The sequence below is a fragment of the Homo sapiens genome, chromosome 7 (assembly GCF_000001405.40).
Source record: "Homo sapiens chromosome 7, GRCh38.p14 Primary Assembly".
In the NCBI taxonomy this organism is placed as follows: domain Eukaryota; kingdom Metazoa; phylum Chordata; class Mammalia; order Primates; family Hominidae; genus Homo; species Homo sapiens.
This window is the reverse complement of record NC_000007.14, coordinates 43,708,546-43,731,477: the sequence shown is the minus strand read 5'-3', so window position 1 is coordinate 43,731,477 and position 22,932 is coordinate 43,708,546. Positions and strand designations below refer to the sequence as shown.

The 22,932-nt window shown below is 40.7% G+C and overlaps 1 protein-coding gene across 74 annotated transcripts in view, besides 3 other annotated features; it reads left to right on the top strand.

The window, feature by feature from the left end:
- Positions 1,211 to 1,939: an enhancer, noted in NCBI's record as "H3K27ac hESC enhancer chr7:43769138-43769866 (GRCh37/hg19 assembly coordinates)". NCBI's record gives its function as "activates a minimal SCP1, AML or CMV promoter by ChIP-STARR-seq in naive H9 embryonic stem cells {active_cell/tissue: H9 hESC(naive)}" and the evidence as "EXISTENCE:reporter gene assay evidence [ECO:0000049][PMID:30033119]".
- Positions 1,645 to 1,844: an enhancer, noted in NCBI's record as "active region_25914". NCBI's record gives its function as "activates an Ori minimal core promoter by ATAC-STARR-seq in GM12878 lymphoblastoid cells {active_cell/tissue: GM12878}" and the evidence as "EXISTENCE:reporter gene assay evidence [ECO:0000049][PMID:35858748]".
- Positions 1,940 to 2,669: an enhancer, noted in NCBI's record as "H3K27ac hESC enhancer chr7:43768408-43769137 (GRCh37/hg19 assembly coordinates)". NCBI's record gives its function as "activates a minimal SCP1, AML or CMV promoter by ChIP-STARR-seq in naive H9 embryonic stem cells {active_cell/tissue: H9 hESC(naive)}" and the evidence as "EXISTENCE:reporter gene assay evidence [ECO:0000049][PMID:30033119]".
- COA1 (cytochrome c oxidase assembly factor 1) overlaps positions 1,955 to 22,932 on the top strand; it is a 121,067-nt gene continuing 100,089 nt past the window's right edge. For 65 of the 74 annotated variants that reach the window (NR_146943.2, NR_146940.2, NR_146945.2 and 62 more), the window contains exon 1: positions 1,955 to 2,049. The gene's annotated coding sequence lies outside the window, so the exon portion shown is untranslated. Of the gene's footprint in view, positions 2,236 to 20,028; positions 20,096 to 22,932 lie in introns of all 74 variants that reach the window. The other 9 variants (XR_007060103.1, NR_163918.1, NR_146941.2 and 6 more) reach the window with 3 other exon arrangements.

The window sequence follows — 22,932 nt, the reverse complement described above, 5'->3', positions numbered from 1 at the left end:
TTTTATTCCTTGTGATGGGCAAGATGGCTACTAATGACAGTGTGGGATAGATGTTTCGACGTCAAGAGGACAGTATATCAGAAACTTTCTCCTGAGCATGAAATAGAGGTCCTTTCCTTCAGTCAGATTGCGCCAACCTGGGTCATATACTCGTTCCTTGATTAGCAACTATTTCCAAAAAAATTCTGTGTGAAGACTGGTTTAATCAGTATCATTTTGATTCTGGGAACAGGGCAGCTATCTGAATAAAATAAGGATTTTGGTACAAAGGAGTTAGAGGAAAATGAATATTGGATAGGTAACATTATTCACTATAGAGTTTTGTTTTTAATGTAAAATTTAGACGACAAAAAAATTCTGTGTGATGACTGGTTTAATCAGTATCATTTTGATTCTGGGAACAGGGCAGCTATCTGAATAAAATAAGGATTTTGGTACAAAGGAGTTAGAGGAAAATGAATATTGGATAGGTAACATTATTCACTATAGAGTTTTGTTTTTAATGTAAAATTTAGACGAAAACTTTAGCAGATTTAAGTCCAGTGATAGAAATGTTAAGTTCTGAGTTTTCAAGCAAATGGTCAGAAAAGCCTATTTAATGTTTTATTACTTACAAAGTAAACATATTTCTCTTTCTGGTACAGAACGGGAGCTAATTGATCTCGGGTTCATTTTCATGAACGTTGTATGAAATGCACATATACCAAACCTCATAAGCTTTTTATTAGTTGATTTATTCTTTGAAATATTAAGCTTGGTGTAAGGTATTATAACCTCAATCTCTTTGAAAATGTAATAAGTCAATAATCAATGTTGCATCAATGAATATTACTCAGTGGATGCCTATTTTATTTCTTCTTTTTCTCTAAGAACCATTTAAATAGTCCTTATGGCCGAGCACTTCACAATCTGATTAGTTTCTATTAATTCTTTGGAAAAGAAACATTCTGGGAAGTCAGAATTCAGCGGTAGGTTGCTTTGATAATGTGCTCATTTAGCTAGTGGATTCCAGAGTGATAGAATGTATGTTTGGCAACCTAATTGTTGTGGAGGAAGAAAAGAACTTCTGTTAGAAGTTTTTAAAAAAGTTTAAAAATTGTTTTTACCTCATCAAAAGTTTGATGTCTTGTGAGTTTTATAGCATGCATAATATATTAATGCCATACATGACACATGTAAATATATATATATTTTTTCTGATAGGGATGTGTGAGCAAGAGTTTAAAGAAGAATGCCCCAGTCTAAAGTTAATTAGTCTTGGAGTGATGGCTTCGCAGAGGAAAGATACTGGATTTCAAGCTTGACATTAAGGTGATAATAGTGGTGACTATGGAATAATCAATATAAAAATAATAACAGCTAACAGTTACTGAGCGCCTACAAACTGCCAGACACTACTCTAAGTGCTTCACATCCTCATAACAAATTTATGAGGTAAATGCTATTATTATCCACCAGCCTTCTGAAATTTTCTTACCCCGTTACTCCCTGGTGTTAACTGGGTACTTAATTTGTCGAATAAAATAAAATTTAGTGCTGCCAAATTTGTCAGCTGAACGGGGCGGCAGGAATTTCAGTGCTAGAGTGGGGGGCCAGACGGCCCGGGGCTTCGTGTCCTTGGAGGCCAGCGGAAGCGCCGCATACCTGTGAGGAGCAACGTGAGCCGGTGGCTTATATTTCCTGGGCTAGTGCTACTGGACTGAATGCATTTGCAATAACCGGACGCAGAAAAAAAAAAAAAAAGCGGGGACCAGGGGAGGCGAAACCCTTCCCGGCGCGAGTCCGAGCGTCTGAGAAGCAGAAGCCACACGTCCCGGCGACCTAAGTTCTGGATCAGCCGGCCGGAGGACCCGTGTTAGCATTTACAATCCGAGGTGAGCTGAAGCCTCCGGTTGTCCCGGTTCGACGCTCTAGCCCTGCGAGCAGCCGACGCCGGAAGTCTCTACTGCTCCCCGCTGGCGCGCAGGACCGCGGGCATTTACCCGTGCTTTCCCAAGCCTGGAAGAACTCGTCATGCTCTTTGTAGCGTGGTGCTTCTGTTGCTCACAGGTTAGTCTCCCGCGGTATAAGAGTCTCCGTCTTCCCCCCAGCAAGAAGCGTTTGTTCCTGCAATTCGGGGGGCCGCCTTTGCGCGCGGGGTGCGCTGCTTCTTGGAGAGTTCCCTCACGGGTCACATCGCGGAGGTTCGCGCCGGCGCCGGGTCGCGGCCTCCCTGCGCAGCTTCTTTGGCACCTGGTAACCTTCAGTGGCTCCGTCCGCTCGGAGTTAGGAGGCTGTGTCGAGCTAACCTTGACCTTGTCCTGCAGTTTTTGCTGACCATCCCCAACAGCACACTGTAAAGAGTTAGGGTCCTCTCGAAGAGTTGGGACTGGGCACTTTTGTTGGTAGTGCTAAATTTCAACACCCTGAGGAGTACGCTGCCCAAATTATTGTAGGAAAGAATTACCTGGTTTAGTGGTTATAATACTTTTTGTCCCCACCACACTTGAATAACAGAAAAACCCTCCCAACAGGGGCTGACTGCAAAAGTGATTTTCTGTGTAGGGGACATTGGATGTATTTATGTATATATCAGTGCCTATCAGTCTGTATGTGTGTTTGGGGGTGGATGCTGTGTAATTTAAAAAAATCTATGGAGATTCTGATAATTTGATAACCTGTTTCTCCGGTCTTCCCCTGATTCCTCCCCATTCTCCCCGGAGGGCTATTGCTTTATTTCTGAGGTGGCTCACGTTTGGATAGAAGTAGCAACTCTCCGCTTACACCTGCACGTTTAAAACGCATATCAGATTGTGTTATTTCTGTCCTCAGAATCTTCCTGGCCTTCCCGTTGCTTTCAGGATAATACACATTTCTTAGCCTAACTTCAAGGGCCTACAGGGTCTTGATTCTGCTGAGTTTTTCAGTCTTTGCTACTTTCATGGAAAACACACCTGCAGGTACACTCATATTATGCTCCCACCATGCCAGTCTACGGTAATTTAATAACTTTAGATATGGCAAAGTTTTATATGGTTTACTCAAGTTTTAATTTTTGTTCTAGCATTTAGCCAAAATCGATTGAATTCATAATATTGCTAGGCACTGTTTTAAAAACGGGATAAAATGAAAACAAAACAAAACACAAAACAAAAGTCTTCAGTCCTTTAAAAAAATAAAACAGCTTCCTGACACATAGTTCACCTACCGTAGAGTTCACCATTTAAAACGTAGCGGTGCCTCACGCCTGTAATCCCAGCACTTTGGGAGGCCGAGGCGGGTGGATCACGAGGTCAGGAGATCAAGACCGTCCTGGCTAACACGGTGAAACCCCGTCTCCACTAAAAATACAAAAAATTAGCCGGGCGTGGTGGCGGGAGCCTGTAGTCCCAGCTACTTGGGAGGCTGAGGCAGGAGGATGGTGTGAACCCGGGAGGTGGAGCTTGCAGTGAGCCGAGATTGCGCCACTGCACTCCAGCCTGGGCGAGAGAGCTAGACTCCATCTCAAAAAAAAAAAAAAAGAAAGAAAACCTAAAAGTAATTAGTACATTAGTACATTCACAAAGTTGTACAACCATCATCATAAAATATGCTGTAATCTTCTTCACCTTCATTAGTTGGTTTAATTTTCTATTTCAGACAGACTCCAATAAGTTATTCTTGTATTCTTTTGTTCATGTTTAATATGCTGCATTCAGTTTGTGAGAGCCATATTGGAACAATTGAACATTTTCATCACTCCAAAAGGAAACCCTGTACTTATTCAGCAGGCTCACCTGACTTCCCCATCCCCACTCCCCATTCTAAGCCCTAAGCAACTATGAATTGACTGACTGTATATTTGACTATTCTGGATTATTCATGTGAGTGAAATCATACAGCATGTGGTCTTTTTCAACTGGCTTCTTTTACTTAACATTCATGTTCATCTGTGTTGTATTTAATAGCATGTGTCAGTACTTTTTTTTATTGCTGGTTAATCTTTTATGGGTATTACCACGATTTATTTTCCATTAGTTAGTGGACGTTTGGATTGTTTCCACCTTTTGGCCATTATGTGTAATGCTGCTGTGAACATTCACCTACAAGTTTTTGTGTGGACATCATGTTTTCATTTCTCTTGCGTATGTGCCTAGGAGTGAAATGGCTGGGTCATATGGTAGCTCTGTTTAACATTTTAAGAAATGGTCAGACTGTTTTCCAAAGCATCAGTGTGCATCTTTTTAACATTCGCACCAGTAGTGTATTAGGGTTTTGATTTCTCACTCCTTGCCAACACTTGTCATTATCTGTCTTTCTGATTCTAGCCATTCCAGTGGGTGTGAAGTGTGTGTCATTGTGTTTTCATTCTTTTTCGTTGACATGTAATAATTGTACATATTTAGGGACTACAGAGTGATATTTTGATAAATGTATACAATGTGTAGTGATCAAATCAGGTAATTAGTATGTCCACCACCTGAAACGTTCATCTTTTCTTTGTGTTGCGACCATTAAAAATCTCCTAACTTTTTGAAAATATTATGGTTTCAAATCGTATTTCCCTGATGGCTAATGATGTTGAGCATCTTTTCAAGTGCTTATTGCCCATTTATTTATCTTCTTTGGAGAAATGTGTACTCAGATCCTCTGCCCATTTTTAAATTAGGTTCTTTTTTGTAATTGAGTTGCAAGAGTTCTTTATATATTCTAGATACAAGTCATTTATCAGATATGTGATAGTCTTTTAGATTATGCTACCGTTCTTTTAAATGAAAAGCACATGAGATTAATTTTTTGTAGCCCTGGAGACCTCCTTATGGGTATGTGGCTGTGGTTTAGAGAGTGATGGTTTTCCAACAACTACGTGGGAGGCCAGGCCCAGGAAAAATGCTGTGAAAGAACCCGTGAGGAGCATTTTAAGACTTGAAAAATGAAGCAAGGAAAAACTTTATAATTTGCCATTCCGTATGGAGTTTTGTCTTTATTGATTTTTAGGAGTTCTTTGTGTAGGGATTTAAGCCATTGACTGTTAGATATGTGGCAGATATTTTCAATCTATTTAGTTAACTTTGTTTTATATTTTTTACTATATTGTTTTACATTTTTGTGTAGTCAGGACTTTGCCTCTAAAAGCCTTCTGGCTAATAGTTTAGGATATTGTTCTTTAATTATAGGAGTTATAGAAACTGACATAGTAGTTCCCAGTTAGTGTGACATCTGAGTCCCTGGTGGTATATTTAGCCTAAGAGTGTTCATTGTTTCAGACATTGTTGCCTCCCTGTCTCTCTGCCTTGAAAAATGTGCCATGATCTGCTTCAACTTTGTTCATTTAACTCTCTATTTTAAACAGACTCCAAGAAGTTATTCTTTTATCCTCTTGTTCATGTTTCATATGCTGCATTAGATTTGTGAGAGCCATATTGGACAGTTGGTCACCAAATAGTAGGTACTTTTTTCATACTAGCAGGCATTTATTTGAAGATTATTTAATGTATGCAGAGGTTGAGTGTAGCTATTGTGTTCTGTATTGTTTGGGGCATGTTGGAAAAAGTAGTTTTATAAAATCCTATTAACATTGTTTTGTATTTTTTTAATTTTGTTGGTTAAAAGGCAGTAGTAGTAATATATATAGTATATATATAATATATATATTTTTTGAGATGGAGTTTCGCTCTTGGTACCCAGGCTGGAGTGCAATGGTGCGATCTCGGCTTACTGCAACCTCCGCCTCCTGGGTTCAAGTGATTCTCCTGCCCCAGCCTCCTGAGTAGCTGAGATTACAGGTGACTGCCACCATGCCCAGCTAATTTTTTTGTTTTATAGTAGAGACGGGGTTTCACCATGCTGGCTAGGTTGGTCTGGAACTCCTGACCTCAGGTGATCCACCGCCTCGGCCTCCTAAAGTGCTGGGGTTATAGGCATGAGCCATTGCGCCCAGCCAGTAGTAAAAGTATTTTTAGAAACTGAGCATTTTGAGAATCTAAGGAAAGTGATATACAATAGCTTCCAGAAAAAAATTGCATCTCTCTGTTTACATATAATGGCCAAGATTTCATTCTTTCCCCTTGGCTTGATTCCAGTTAGAACTGTGTGTTTCTTGTTTCAGTGTTTTGTCTTTTCTTTTTTAAAATTGTGATAGAATATACATAACATAAAATTGGCCATTTTAACTATTTGTAAAGATACAGTTCAGTGCCATTAAGTACTTTAACATTGTTGTGTAACCATAACCACCATCTATCTCCAGAACACTTTTTTCTTTTTCTTTTTTTTTTTTTGAGATGGAGTTTCGTTCATGTTGCCCTGGCTGGAGTGCAGTGGCGTGTTCTCAGCTTACCGCAACCCCCACCTCCCGGGTTCAAGTGATTCTCCTGCCTCAGCCTCCCGAGTAGCTGGGATTACAGGCATGCGCCACCACACCTAGCTAATTTTGTATTTTTAGTACAGACGGGGTTTCTCCATGTTGGTCATGCTGGTCTTGAACTCTCGACCTCAGGTGATCTGCCCACCTCAGCCTCCCAAAGTGCTGGGATTGCAGGCGTGCGCCACTGCGCCCGACCCAGAGCACTTTTATCTCCACACACTGCACCCATTAAATGATAAATCTCCGTTCCTCCCTCTTTCCAGTCCCTGGCAACTACCATTATATTTTCTGTCTATGAATGTGACTATTCTAGGGTCCTCATAAAAGTGGAATCATAAAATATTTGTCCTTTTGAGTCTGGTTTATTTCATTTAGCATGTCTTCAAGGTTAATTCATGTTGTGGCATGTGTTGGAATTTTCATTTTTTTAAAGACTGAATAGTATTACATTGTATTCCATAGAACACATTTTGTTTATCCATTCATTAGTCGATAGATATTTGGGTTGTTGCCACCTTTTGGCTATTGTGAATAGTGCTGCTGTGAACATTGGTATACAAATGTCTGAGTTCCTGCTTTCAATTCTTTTTTTTTTTTTCTTTGAGATGGAGTCTTGCTCTGTCTCCCAGGCTGGAGTGCAGTGGTGTGATCTTGGCTCACTGCAACCTCTGCCTCCTGGTTCAAGTGATTCTCCTGCCTCAGCCTCTCGAGTAGCTGGGACTACAGGCGTGCACCACCACGCAGGCTAATTTTTATATTTTTAGTAGAGACAGGGTTTTGCTATGTTGGCCAGGCTGGTCTTGAACTCCTGACCTCAAGGGATCCGCCCACCTCAGTGTCCCAAAGTGCTGGGATAACAGGTGTGAGCCACCGCGCCTGGCTGTGCTTTCAGTTCTTTTAGGTATACGTATCCAGAAGTGGAATTGCTGGATTGTAGGGTAATTCTGTTGATTTTTTTGAGGAACTGCCCGTATGCTTTAGTGTTTTTGTTATTTGCATAAAAGATGAGATTTAAAGGAATTGTGTAATTTAGGCATGGATTATCACGTTTACCTTTCCAAAGGACTATTTCCTACTTGAAGGGGTGTAGGTGTTTTTGTATTAGGACTTGGAGATCTTTGAGTTTTAAAATTATTGCAATTCAGACTAAATAAAAAGTTTATCATGGATAGTTTTCCAAATTGTAAACATCTCTATGATCCAAGATTTTTTGGTTTTTGTTTTTTGAGACAGGGTCTCACTTTGTCACCCAGGCTGGAGTGCAGTGCCATGAACATGGCTCAGTGCAGCCTTGACCTCATGGGCTCAAGTGATCCTCCTGCTTTAGCCCCTCAAGTAGTTGGGACTACAGGCACATGCCACCACGCCGGGCTAATTTTTATATTTTTTGTTGAGATGGGATTTTGCCATGTTGCCCAGGCTGGGCTCAAACTCCTGAGCTCAAGCGATCCGCCCACCTCAGCCTCCCAAAGTGCTGGGATTACAGGTGTGAGCCACCTTGCCTGGCCTTTTTTTTTTCTTAATGCTTTCTGTGTTTTTAGTCTTTTTGGGGAAATTACCCATCATGACAGACTCTAAAATGGAGGTGAGTTTGCAAACTTGTATAGTTCCAAAAGTCTGTGAATTATTCCGGTATCATACTACTGCTCCATTTGGATGCTTTGGCAATTACCCTGGTGTGCTGTGACTATTGCTGCTTCTGACAGGCAAGTTTACCTCCCTCAATGCAAATATAACCATGTCATTAGTTGAAGATTAGGAGATGACCAGCATTATTCTCTTTTACGACTGTATCATTCTTTTTTCAACTATTCTCCTGTTGTTGGAACTGCAAATTATTGTGGGTACTGCAATCCATTTGAATAGCTGTGACCTCCCAGGGATCACTGGGAAAATGTAGAAAAACAGACAACAGTGTGGCTCAACCAAAACTTAGAAAACTAAGATTGCATGTAGCTGCCAGATCCTGGGAACAGGATGGCTTAAGGGCAGCCCTAAGGGATAAAGGGTAGAGGATTATATGTGTTACACCCTTTCTACCAACCTCTCCCTCCCATTGCAACAGCTTTCATAAGGTCTCAGTTTAATATTTCATTATTACTTTACAACCCATATCATTTTATTAACAGCAAGTATATTATCAGGAGAGATGGGAGGAACTGGTATCTTAATGTGACTTTTGCTCTTAGTTTGGGTCTCTGTCATTTGGACTCTGGTGATCTTTTATCTTGTGGGCTCTTGGTGCCTTAAGACATTTGGCATTTGCAAATGTACTGGAAAGGTCCCCAGATGGACTTAGATGTTCCAGATCTCGTGGAACTTTGATGTCACTTGCATTCATAAGTGATCTAGCAAATACCAAGATTACATAGATGCCAAGCACCCAACTTTCCCTGTTTATGCACCAGCTTTTTGAGGGAGATGAAATGCAATCACATAAAGAATGTACTAGCTGGGCGTGGTGGCTCATGCCTGTAATCCCAGCACTTTGGGAGGCCAAGGCAGTCGGATCACTTGAGATCAGGAGTTCCAGACCAGCCTGGCCAACATGGTGAAACCCCGTCTCTACTAAAAATACAAAAATTAGCTGGGCGTGATGGCATGTGCCTGTAGTCCTAGCTACTCGCAGCTGGTACGAGGCACAAGAATCTCTTGAACCTGGGAGGCAGAGGTTGCAGGGAGCTGAGATTGTGCCATTGCACTCTAGCCTGGGCGATAGAACGAGACTCTCGTTTTGTCGTAGGGAAAAGCATTTCCTAGCCAGGCGTGGTGGCTCATGCCTGTAATCCCAGCACTTTGGGGGGCCAAGGTGGGCAGATCACTTGAGTCCAGGAGTTTGAGACCAGCTTGGGCAAAGTGGCGAAACCCCATCTCTCTACTAAAAATACAAAAGAACTAGCTGGGCATGGTGGTGCACACCTTTGGTTCCAGCTGCTCAGGAGGCTGAGGTGGGAAGATCACCTGAGTCTGGGAGGTCGAGGCTGTAGTGAGTTGCAGTGGCGCCACTGCACTCCAGCCTGAGTGACAGAGTGAGACCCTGTCTCAAAAAAAAAAAAAAAAAGTTACCAGAATCAACGGTGAATGTCCTAACTTTTGGTTATAGATTGTTCCTCTCATTGAAATGTTCTGTGCTAGGGGCAAAGATTGACTTCTGGTGTGCAATGGTAGTCTTTAGAAACACTTCTACATCCATATTTAAGTATGTCAGCATGCAGTATTACATTAGAATCTTTCTAATGTTTTTTGGGCTTCAAGCCTTTGAGCTATAAGTAGCAAAACTTTGAAATTTATGTGAATACTTTCACATTATAACTTACGACTTTTCCCATGGTACTGAGTATTTGTATTCTCTTACCTTGTTTTTTTTTTAAATTACCGTACAGTAAAATAAACTTTTTATATTATAAATTTTAACCCATGTACTGATTTCTATAACCAACACCATAGTCAGGATGCAGAATAGTTGCCTCACCTCAAAAACTCCCTAGTGCTATCTCTTCATGGTTAAATCTTCCCCTTACCCAAATAACCAAAACCAAAAAGTAAATGCCATTTTGTGTTTTTATTGTGGGAAGCAGTTACATTACATCCTTGCTTTTCCTCTTTATTAGGGATTTAATCTAAGCATGTTGGGCTAGAAAGGATAAAGTCAACAGTCTCTTCATTTTTTTTTGAGAAATTCATAAACTTTCTCATGCATTTAGTGTTTAGGAATAAAAACATTTGGCTAGTTATCTCTTCCAACAGGTGGCAGTGTTGTGCTATATAATAGGATTTACTAATAAAGATTGTGGCTTTTTGTCAGCTGGACGATAATTGCTGTACATTTTTTACATCAGAAAATCAAGATGGTTAATTAAGAACTGACATTTAACTATTGAAATTATTTTTTAAAGTCTATTTCAAAATTCATCTTATTCTTGTAATGTTACTAGTAAAGCAGTCTATGGATAAAAGTATTCCTTAATACATTTGTATTTGTTTTCAGTGTTTGCAGAATTATGAATTAACTCTTTCCTTAAGGTTAACCTTTGTAGCGGGAATAACTCCAGTGTTGTGGATGAATCTGTGAGTAATAGAGGCTTATCAGTGTGACTTCAGATGTTTTATGTTTCAGCCTTCTCTATCACATGTAGGAATCCCTTTATAACATCTCTGGTAGTTGGTGGCATTGATCAGTAAATGGAGCAGCCATGGAAGAAAGATACAGGTTCTAATTGCCAGCATCCTGATTGTGAAGCCTTAATGGAGATGTTCAGTGAGAAATGATGAAGAGGAAGCTTGTGAGACATTTGCACTTAGGTGACTCATAGGTTTTCGAAGCTAACCCATCCAAAAAATGGATTCTCTTTTTCTTTATACTTCCAGCAACTTAATGTCTGGCAGTATATACTTCCCTAGGGACTGGGGCTGCCATTCATCCAGAGGCTCCTGAGTAATATCCAGGGTCACTTTAAGACCTCTCAGTGTTCTCTAAATTCTACCTCCTAAATATTTTCAAATATGGCCACTTCATCTTTACCTCTCTCGTTGCACAGAACAATGATTTTTCACCTAGATATACTGCTTCCTAATTGATCTGCCAGGATATATTATTACCCCTATTTTTCACACAGCAGCCATTTTTAAAAAATGTAAAATCTGATCATGTCACTCCCCATATTTTTATTCTTAAACAAGTTTGTGAGAAAGTTTGTAAGTTTCTGAAAAAAAAAGAAAAAGGAAGGGGACCATGTTGATTTTATCCTTTCTAGTCCATCATACTTAGATAAAACGCTTAATAAAGAGGAAAGGCAGGGATGCAACATTACTGCTTCCCACAATAAAAACACAAAATTATACTGAGCATTGGAACTCTTTTTTTCCTTTTTTTTTTTGACAGAGTTTTGCTTTGTTGCCCAGGCTGGAGTGCAGTGGTGCGATCTTGGCTCACTGCAATCTTTCCTCCCGGTTTCAAGCAATTCTCCTGCCTCAGCCTCCCGAGTAGCTGGGATTACAGGTGCCCGCCACCATGCCTGGCTAATTTTTATGATTTTAGTAGAGATGGGGTTTCACCATGTTGGCCAGGCTGGTCTTGAACTCCTGACCTCAAGTGACCCGCCCACCTTGGCCTCCCAAAGTGCTGGGATTACAGGTGTGAGCCACCATGCCTGGCCTTTTACTTTTTATTTTACGTAGAATAAACCCCAAATATTTAACTTGACCCACAACATTCCTCCCTCCTCCCTGTTCTGTGATGTGGCCTCTCTTCTTTCTGTTATAGTCTCATCTCATGCCAGTTTCCCCTTGTTCACTGTGCTCCAGCTTCTCTGGTGTTCTCTTTGCTCCTTGATTGGAGGAGGTGGGGAGAATAGATTCAAGGAAACCTGTTTGTAAGCAAACATACATTTCAGGTAATGAAAACAAGGCTTAATACTATATTGAAATATGTGGGTCAGGGGACATTTTCATAGTAGTCAGGAAGCCATCCATCCCTTTGTCACTTTTCAACTCCTCAGACTGAATCTAGGGATAAATGCACACCTGAGTACAGATTCGGTGTGTGGGGAAAGTTATGTTCTAATAGAAAAGGAAATTTAGAACTCGACAGTGATTACCTGTAATACTGTTAGTTGTGGATAATCCTTTATATTTGGTAGCTCTCACTTAGTTTGACTTTATTTTTGTAATTTCATTCTTCTAGCATTTCATTATTTATTAACTTTGATTTTTCTGTATGACAGCCTTGCCTCACTAACCACTTGGACTATACAGCCATCTGGGGCTTAGAGGCTATTAGTGGCATCCCTAATAAGTAATAGTTGTGCAGTCTGTGCTTGAGTTTCTTGTTTCCAAGGCAGTTCATTCCTGCTGGAGATAGTTTTATTTATTAAGAAGCTCTTCTTGGCCAGGTGTGGTGGCTCATGCCTATAATCCCAGCACTTTGGGTGGCTGAGCTGGGCAGATCACTTGAGGTCAGGAGTTCGAGACCAACCTGGCCAACATGGTGAAACCTCGTCTCTACTAAAAATACAAAAATTAGCTGGGTGTGGTGGCGCATGTAATCCCAGCTACTTGGGAGGCTGAGGCAGGAGAATTGCTTGAACCTGGGAGGTGGAGCTTGCGGTGAGCTGAGATTACGCCACTGCACTCCAGCCTGGGTGACAGAGTGAGACTCCATCTCAAAAAAAAAAAAAAAATGTAGATTCCTGGTAGATTGAATCTACTTCTAATCTTGCTCCCTGTTGAAACCCCATTAAAACTGCAGTAAAAACCCAATGGACATGGAAAATAGACAACATCAACATAGTGTAGAGTACTGAAAAGCCTAAGAATGAGTCGAAATTAACTGACACCCAAGACTTATGAATCCTGAGTTGGCAGAGGGAAAAACTATGAACCAATCAGATTTATCCTCTAAATCCTCATAAAGCTCAAGAAGTAGCAAAGCCAAGTATCTCTGAAAATTGAGGTGCAAAAGACATGAAATAAGGAAGATTGGATAATTGTTGCTAAGAAACAACTCTCCCAATGCATACTATTCACCTTGGGACAGATTCTGGAGGTTCAGAGCAGATGATCTCTGGATAAAGTTATGTTTCTGTATGGGAAGTCACTCCCAGAATTTCTCAGGAAATTTGTATGTTATTTTAAATCCCAAACCCTGAGGAAAGTTACTGGTAATTCCAAATTGGGAAAACAGAATCATTTTCATGAGAATTAAAGATCTGTGGTCAATAGTATTAGATGTGATTGGTTCTTAGAGCTCCACTGATGTCAAGTGGAAAGCAAGAGCAGGACATGCTGACACCGACTAAAACCTTAAGTTGTACATCTCTGGGAGCTGAGACAAGAGCATCTAGGAGATAAGCTTGTGATCTAGACAGCCAGTCTCATAGCTGTTGCCATCTTATAAATAAATGTGTTTTTATACTCTATCTGCTGCTAACAGTTATTCTTACAAATAAATAATAATACATTTGTATGCATAGTCCACTTCATATAAACGCTATTAGTGGTGTTTCAAGAAATAAAAAATTTGAAAGCAAAATAAGTCCTAAAGTTGGCAGTACAATATATTATTCTGTATGGTAGTATATTAGTCCGTTTTCACACTGCTGATAAAGACATACCTGAGACTGGGCAATTTACAAAAGAAAGAGGTTTAACTGGACTTACTGTCTCATGTGGCTGGGGAATCCTCACAGTCATGGTGGAAGGCAAAGAGGAGCAAGTCCTGTCTTACATAGATGGCAGCAGGCAAAGAGAGAATGAGAAAGATGCAAAGTGGAAACCCTTGATAAAACCATCAGATCTTGTGAGACTTATTCACTACCACAAGAAAAGTATGGGGGAAACCGCCCCCATGATTCAGTTATCTCCCATTGGGTCCCTCCCACAACACATGGGAATTATAGGAGTACAATTCAAGATGAGATTTGAATAGGGACATAGAGCCAAACCATATTGTTCCCCCCCCGGCCCCTGCCAAATCTCATGTCCTCACATTTCAAAACCAATCATGCCTTCCCGACAGTCCCCCAAAATCTTAACTCATTTCAGCATTAACCCAAAAGTTCACAGTTCAAAGTTTCATCTGAGACAAGGCAAGTCCCTTCTGCCTATAAGCCCGTAAAATCAAATGCAACCTAATTACTCCCTAGATAGAATGGGTTTACAGGTATTGGGTAAATATAGTCATTCCAAATAGGAGAAATTGGCCAAAACAAAGGGGTTTCAGGGCCCATGCAAGTCTGAAATCCAGCGGGGCAGTCAAATTTTAAAGCTCCAAAATGATCTCCTTTGACTCCAGGTCTCACATCTGGGTCATGCTGTTGGAGCTGCCTATGGTCTTGGGTAGCTCCACCCCTGTGGCTTTGCAGGGCATAGCCTCCCTCCAGGCTGCTTTCATAGGCTGGCATTGAGTGTCTGTGACTTTTCCAGGTGGATGGTGCAAGCTGTCAGTGGATCTACCATTCTGGGGTCTGGAGGATGGTGGCCCTCTTCTCACAGCTTCACTAGGTAGTGCCCCAGTAGGGACTCTGTGTGGGGGCTCCAACCCCACATTTTCCTTCTGCACTGCCCTAGCAGAGGTTCTCCATGAGGGCCCCACCCCGCAGCAGACTTTTGCCTGGGCTTCCATACATTTCCATACATCTTCTGAAATCTAGGTGGAGGTTCCCAAACCTCAGTTCTTAGCTTCTGTGTGCCTGTAGACTCACCACCATGTGGAAGCTGCCAAGGTTGAGGCTTCCACTCTCTGAAGCCACAACCCAAGCTCTGCATTGGCCCCTTTCAGCCACAGCTGGAGTAGCTGGGACACAGGGCACCAAGTTCCTAGGCTGCACACAGCATGGGGACCTTGGGCCTGGACCACAAAACCACTTTTTCCTCCTGGGCCTCTCGTCCTGTGATGGGAGGGGCTGCCGTGAAAGTCTCTGACATGGCCTGGATACATTTTCCCCATGGTCTTGGTGATTAACATTGGGCTCCCTGCTACTTTTGCAAATTTCTGCAGCCAGCTTGAATTTCTCCTCATAAAATGGGCTTTTCTTTCCTATCACATTGTCAGGCTGTAAATTTTCTGAACTTTTATGCCCTGTTTCCCTTTTAAAATGGAATGCTTTTAACAGCACCCAAGTTACCTTTTGAATGCTTTGCTGCTTAGAAATTTCTTCTGCTAGATACCCTAAAAATCATCTCTCTCAAGTTCTAAGTTCCACAAATCTCTAGGGTGGGGCAAAATGCTGCCAGTCTCTTGCTAAAACATAACAGGAGTCACCTTTGCTCCAGTTCCCAACAAGTTCCTCATCTCCATCTGAGACCACCTCAGCTTGGAACCTTACTCTTCATATCACTATCAGCATTTTTGTCAAATCCATTCAACAAGTCTCTAGGAAGTTCCAAACCTTCCCACATTTTCGTGTCTTCTTTTGAGCCCTCCAAACTGTTCCAACCTCTGCTTGTTACTCACTTCCAAAGTCACTTCCACATTTTTGGGTATCTTCAACAACACCCCACTGCTGGTACCAATTTACTTTATTAGTCCGTTTTCATGCTGTTGATAAAGACATACCTGAGACTGGGCAATTTACAAAAGAAAGAGGTTTAATTGGACTTACAGTTCCATGTGGCTGGGGAAGCCTCACAATCATGGCAGAAGGCAAGGAGGAGCAAGTCCTATCTTACATGGATGGCAGCAGGCAAAGAGAGAATGAGGAGGATGCAAAAGCGGAAACCCCTGATAAAACCATCAGATCTCTTGAGGCTATTCACTATCGGAAAACTGCCCCCATGATTCGATTATCTCCCACTGGGTCCCTCCCACAACACGTGGGAATTATGGGAGTACGATTCAGGATGAGATTTGAGTGGGGACACAGAGCCAAGTCATATCAGGTAGTGTTATTCTTGCTATATTGTGTCTCTAAATACTACCCGTGTTTGTTGGTGTTTTTGAGTTTAAATATTCACTATAGACTGTCATCCTTTGTAAATACTTTAGGAGAGGAATTACAAGAGAAAAAGATATAGTGTTTTTGTGGGATACTTCAACATGAAATGAGAACTTGATCTAAAATTAGTGAAAGCAATATTCAAAGGCAAAACAAAAATGAGAGGAGGCAGCCAAAATAGTTAATCATTAAGAAGGTAAACAAGCTTATATGAAGCAACATACTCTTTTTTTTTTTTTTTGAGATAGAGTCTTGCTCTGTTGCCCAGGCTGGAGTGCAGTGGCACGATCTCCGCTCACTGCAACGTCTGCCTCCCGGGTTCACGCCATTCTCCTGCCTCAGCCTTCCGAGTAGCTGGGACTACAGGTGCTTGCCACCACGCCTGGCATTTTTTTTTGTATTTTTAGTAGAGACGGAGTTTCACCAAGCAACATACCCTTAACATTCAATTTAAAGATGCTGTTTGATGCACTCAGATTAATTTGATCAATGTCAATGTTAAATGTATGAATTTTTTCCTGTATCAGGAATATTATGAAACAAAGTTCAAGACTATTGGAAAAGGCAAGTAATACTTGGTGTGTTTCAAGCTTTCATATTAAGAATGATAACTTCTAAATACAGTATTATCTTTCAGTTTTTAGAATGATTTTTATTTGGCATTTATTTTTGTATTAAATGTTTCCTTTTTTTTTTTTTTTTTTTTTTTTTTAGACAAGAGGCTCACTCTTTTGCCCAGGCTGGAGTGCAGTGGTGCAGTCTTGGCTTACTGCAACTGCTACCTCCCGGGCTCAAGTGATCTTGTGCCTCAGCCACCTGAGTAGCTGGGATTATAGGTGTGCACCACCATGTCCAGCTAAATTTTTTGTAGTTTTAGTAGACGAGATTTCACCATGTTGGCCAGGCTGGTCTCGAACTCCTGGCTGCAAGTGATCCATCTGCATTGGTTTCCCAAAGTGCTGGGATTACAGATGTGAGCCACTGTGCCCACCCTATTGTTTCTTTTTTAATTTCTTCTAGTATCCCGTGTCTGTGTCAGATACAAATCATTTTTATACATTTTCTCAATATATAATTTTTTTTTTTTTTGAGATGGAGTTTCGCTCTTGTAGCCCAGGCTGGAGTGCAATGGCACTATCTCAGCTCACTGCAACCTCTGCCTCCCGGGTTCAAGCAATTCTCCTGCCTCAGCCTCCCGAGTAGCTGGGATTACAGGCTTGCACCACCATACCCGGCTAATTTTTGTATTTCTTAGTAGAGATGGGGTTTCACCATGTTGGCCAGGCTAGCGTTGAACTCCTGACCTCAGGCAATCCACCCTCCTCGGCCTCCCAAAGTGCTGGGATTACAGGTATGAGCCACCACACCCAGCCTCAATATATAATTTTTATACTGTATTGGTTCATACTAGTAATAAGCCATAGGTTTATAATTGTATCTTTATTTTTTAAACAGAAAATCTTTTAAAGTTTTAGTATAACTCTATTACAAAAAGATGATTCACTATTTATTTTTATTTTTAATTTTTTTAGAGACATGGTTTTGCTCTGTCACCCAGGCTGGAGTGCAGTGGCATGATCCTACCTCATTGCAACCTGGAAGTCCCGGACTCAAGTGATCCTCCCTCCTGAGTAGCTGGGACTATTGGTGCATACCACCGTGCCTGGCTAATTTTTTTTTCCTGCCATCTGTGTTTTAATATATTTTTTAAACAGAGTGCAGTGGTGTGATCTCGGCTCACTGCAACCTTTGTCTCTTTGGTTCAAGGAATTCTGCCTCAGCCTCTTGAGTAGCTGGGATTATGGGTGTGCGCCACCATGCCTGGCTAATTTTTGTATTTTTAGTAGAGACAGGCTTTCACCATGTTGGTCAGGCTGGTCTCGAACTCCTGATGTCAAATGATCTGCCCACCTTGGCCTCCCAAAGTGCTGGAATTACAGGCCTGAGCCAGTGCACCTAGCTCTAGACCCCCAGTCTTAATCATAAGCAAATACCCAAGGATTACCAGTTATTTGAGGAAAGCATCCAGCATCAAAGGTGGGTGGTGGGAATTAAGCAAAACAAAAAAGCAACTTGGAAGAAATACAGACTTTGCAGGGGAAAAAAACAGTTACCAACAATCTCCTACCCCAATTACAGATATATTCAGAGAGATGAGATGAAGATGAATAAAAACAGGATGCTCTATAAAGGACTAGCCATAAAACTTACCAGAGACTTGGGCAGGGAGAGGGGAAGGTAGGTAGGGAGAGGTCGTTCAAATGAGTACAAAGTTATAGTTAGGAGGAATAAGTTCTGGTATTCTATTCCACAGAAGGGTGATTATGGTTAATAGTAAGGTATTGTAGCAAAATTGCTAGAAGAGAGGCTTTTGAGTGTTCTTACCAGAAGGAAGTGATAAGTGCGTGAGATGATGGACATGCTAAATACTCTGATTTGATCATTATATAACATATATATGTATTGAGGCTGGGCATGGTGGCTCATGCCTGTATCCCCAGCACTTTGGGAGGCCAAGGTGGGCAGATTACTTGAGGTCAGGAGTTCAAGATCAGCCTGGGCAACATGGCAAAACCCCATTTCCACTAAAAATACAAAAATTAGCCAGGCATGGTGGTGCATCCTGTCATCCCAGCTATTTGGGAGGCTGAGGCAGGAGAATTGCTTGAGCCAGGAGGCAAAGTTTGCAGTGAGCTGAGATCACGCCACTGCACTCCAGCTTGGGTGACAGAACGAGACTCTGTCTCAAATAGCAAAAGAAAACAAGACAAAAAAACCATATATATGTATTTAAACCTCAAATTGTACCCCTCAAATATATGTAATGACAATGTGTCAATAAAAAAAAAAGTCCAGCTAGAAAATGAAAAAAGTTTAAAACATGATAGTGGAAATGAAAATCTTTGGAAGGTTGTAAGATAATGGTCAGGAAATCTCCTAAGAAGTAGGCAAAAAGACAGAGGACACTTAGCTGACTGTTCCTGAGGTTCAATGTTTATACAGTTGAGTTGCAGATAAAATAGGGGAAATGAAAAGGTGAAAATAATTCAAGAAAACGACCAACAGTAGAAGATTGAAGTTTGCAGATTGAATGTGCCTGCCATGTGTTCAGTCTAATAAATATACCCACACTGGGGCCCATCATTAGGAAATTTCAGGACACCGTGTGGTAAAGAGATGATTCTGGAGTGAAAAAAACCCAGATCACATATACAGGATCAGGAATCAGAATGACTTTGGATTTCTATGTAGCACCCTGGAAGTGTGAAAGCAGTGAAGCAATGCCGCCTTCAAAATTCTGGAGGAATATGAGTGTAGTGGCTCACACCTGTAATCCCAGCACTTTGTGGGGCCGAGGCAGGTGGGTTACCTGAGGTCAGGAGTTGGAGACCAGCCTGGCCAACATGGTAAAACCCCGTCTATACCAAAAATACAAAAATTAGCTGGGCATGGTGGTGGGCGCCTGTAGTCCCAGGTACTCTGGAGGCTGAGGCAGGAGAATCACTTGAACCCGGGAGGTGGAGGTTGCAGTGAGCCGAGATTGTGCCATTGTACTCCAGCCTGGGCGACAGAGTGAGACTCTGTCTCAAAAAAAAAAGTTTCTTTTTCCCTGGAGGGATAGAAGAAAAACAAAAGAAGAAAAGAAAAGCAAGGGAATGATTAAATCAGGATAATAGCTACCTCGGTGGAGGGAAGGGGATGGGATCAGGGTGTCTTAATGTCTTGGTAAAAGTCCGTGTTTTAATAGGGGTAGTGGACACTTGGGAGTTTATTGTTATTAGTTTCTCTTCGTATTCACACATATATTTTATATATTATATGTTCAGTCATGTGCCACTTAGTGACATTTCAGTCAGCAGTGAACTGCATAGATGACACTGGTTCCATAAGATTATAGTACTATATTTGTACTGCACCTTTTCTGTGTTTAGATACACAAATGCTTATCATTGTGTTATAATTGCCTACAGTATTCAGTACAGTGACATGCTGTACCTGTTTATAGCCTAGGAGCAGTAGGCCATACCATACAGCTTAGGTGTGTTGTAGGCTGTACCATCTAGGTTTGTGTAAGTACACGCTATGATGTTCACACAATGATGAAATTGCCTAACTATACATTTCTTAGAATGTATCCTGATTGTTAGGTGACACATGACTATTTGATACATGTGAAAATACAAACTTTTTAAAAAGCAGATTCCCACCTTTTGACTCAATGGATCAGAGATTCTCTTTCTCTCTCTCTCTTTTTCTTTCTTTTGACAGAGTCTCGCTCTGGCCAGAGATTTTCTAAATAATGGTCAGGAATCTGCATTGTAAGTCTTACTCTTTGGTAAGAATATTACTGTAGTTGATCTGTTGTTCTTATTGTGTTATCTAGTATTACTGATGTGGTATGATGAGCACATAATAAAGTGGGTACATTATTTCCCTACATTGAGTTAACCATGCTCTCTTATATATGTATATATGGAAATTGTTGGTCTCTGATTAGTTACACCCAGGTGTATGCTAGTGACCCTTATTTTTTCATGAGCCTTTAATACCCTCATTTTAATTTCTCTCAGAATATGTTAAGAACCAAACCACAAGATTTCTGCTGTCACTGCACTGAAATTGTAAAAAATGTGGGATGGGATATTACATGTGCTCTAACATGTATTAAGGATCCAACATCTTTTTACAAAAATGAAAAAAAAAAACCATCAACAAATACAGTATTGTTCTTAAAGATTGCTGGTTGGAGCAGTTATCTCAAAAGGCTTCCATGTGACTTGCTACATTTAATGACAATGAAACCCTGGCAGCTGCTTATTGTTTTAGTGTCACTTGTATATTCCCTGGTGGAAAATCTAGTTTTTCAGCTCAGTTGTGAAACAAATATCACAGATACCAGCACTGTGGTGTTTTGGAAAGGGCTTAGCACCTGAGGTTTCAGTTAAGATCTGATATCCAGTAATTTATTTTTCACTTTGGACAAGTTTACCTAACCTTTCTGAATCCTATTGTTTGTTTGTAATTTGGTTCACCAGTAATACCTATTGGAGTTGGGAGAATAAAATGAGATAGTTTATGTCAAGCACCTGCTGCACTGCCTAGTTGTTAAAGAAATATTATTTTCCTTCTGTAAACATCCTTTACTCAAGCCAGACATCTGGGAATCATCCATAAATCTTTTCTATTCTTCACCTACCAAAGAGCTATCCATTTCATCTTCTTAGTAGCTCTAGAAAGGGAATGAGACATGACCCATATTTTATAACATTGGGCTTTAGGCAGTAACTATTAATAAATCAACTGTTTAGGACATATCTTAAAAATATATATATATATATATATTTTTTTTTTTTTTTTTTTTTTTTTTTTGAGACAGAGTCTTGCTCTTTCACCCAAGCTGGAATGCAGTGGTGTGATCTCAGCTCATGGCAACCTCCTCCTCCCAGGTTCAAGTGATTCTCCTGCCTCAGCCTCCCAAGTAGCTGGGATTAAGGCATGTGCCACAATGCCTGGCTGATTTTTGTATTTTTAGTAGAGGCAGGGTTTCACCATGTTGGCCAGGCTGGTCTCAAACTCCTGACCTCTAGTGATCCGCCTGCCTCAGCCTCCCAAAGTGCTGGGATTACAGGTGTGCGCCACCGCATCTGGCAACTCATAATAATTTGAGTTGGTGTTGGAATAATGCTCATTGTTATTTTTACTTTCATTTATTTTTATTTTTAGGCTTAACATTTTCATGTGTGAGTTTAGCCTTGCAGGATGTTAATAGTGAAAAAGTGTGCACTTTGCACAGAGACATTTCTAGGTTCAAATCTAAGTTTTGCAGTCTTAGGCCCTCAGGCAAGTTAGGTACCCCTTCTAGGCTGGCTTTATGATATTTTTTAAGTGTGTTAATAAGATTTAGTTACGGGCTATCACATCATTAAAAGATAAATTTATATGACAGTGCAGAAGGCCAAGAAGAGCCAAGATACTCTTCAAGAATAAAGTGGGACAATTTGTTTTATCAGATATGAAATTAAAAAAAATAAAACTGGATTAACAAAGACAGTGTTATATTGGTGCAGGGATACACAACAGTCTTGGTTAGTATAGTAGATTGGTGGGACAGAATAAGTAATACAGAAATAGACATGTGAATATGTAGATACTTAATTTGTTATAAAGATAACGTGCAGAACGGTGACAATATATTTCAGTAAATAGTGCTGAAGCATTTTATATATATGCATGTTCATGCGTATACACACACACACACACACACACACACACACACACACACAATAAAACAAAGTGAATCAAGACCTGTATCTCATATTACACCCCAAATGAATTCTCAGTGGATTGTAGATCTACCTGTGAAAGGCAAAACAGTAAAGATTATAGGAGATAGGCCGGGCATGGTGGCTCACACCTGTAATCCCAGCACTTTGGGAGGCCGAGGCAGGTGGATAACGAGGTCAGGAGATTGAGACCATCCTGGCTAACATGGTGAAACCCCGTCTCTATTAAAAAAAATACAAAAAATTAGCCAGGTGTGGTGGCAGGCGCCTGTAGTCCCAGCTACTCGGTAGGCTGAGGCAGGAGAATGGTGTGAACCTGGGAGGCGGAGCTTGCACTGAGCTGAGATCGTGCCACTGCACTCCAGACTGGGAGAGAGAATGAGACTCTGTCTCAAAAAAAAAAAAAAGATTATAGGAGATAATATAGGAAAATATCTATGTGACCTTACAGTATGAAGAGTTTTCTTAAATGGACACAAAAAAGCATTAACCATAAAAAATGATATATTGGAATTTATTAAAACCAAGAATTTCTGCTTATCAAAAATCATGTTTAAGAGAGTGAAAGGCAAGCCAAAGAGTAGGAAAAGATGGTTGCAACTCTGTGACAAAGGGATTATGTATAGGATATGGGAAGGACTACAAATCAGTGAGAAAAAGGCCAGTAGAATAATGGTAATAAAAGATAAGAGAGAAAAAGACAAGCCAATAGAATAATGGGTAAGAGAGAAAAAGACAAGCCAGTAGAATAATGGGTAAGAGACTTGAACAGGCACTTCACCAAAAAGAATATCCAAGTGGCCAGTAAAAATAAGAAAAGGTGCCAAAGAGCACAAATCATTAGAGAAATGCAGATTAAAATCATAATGGCATATAACTGTTACACACC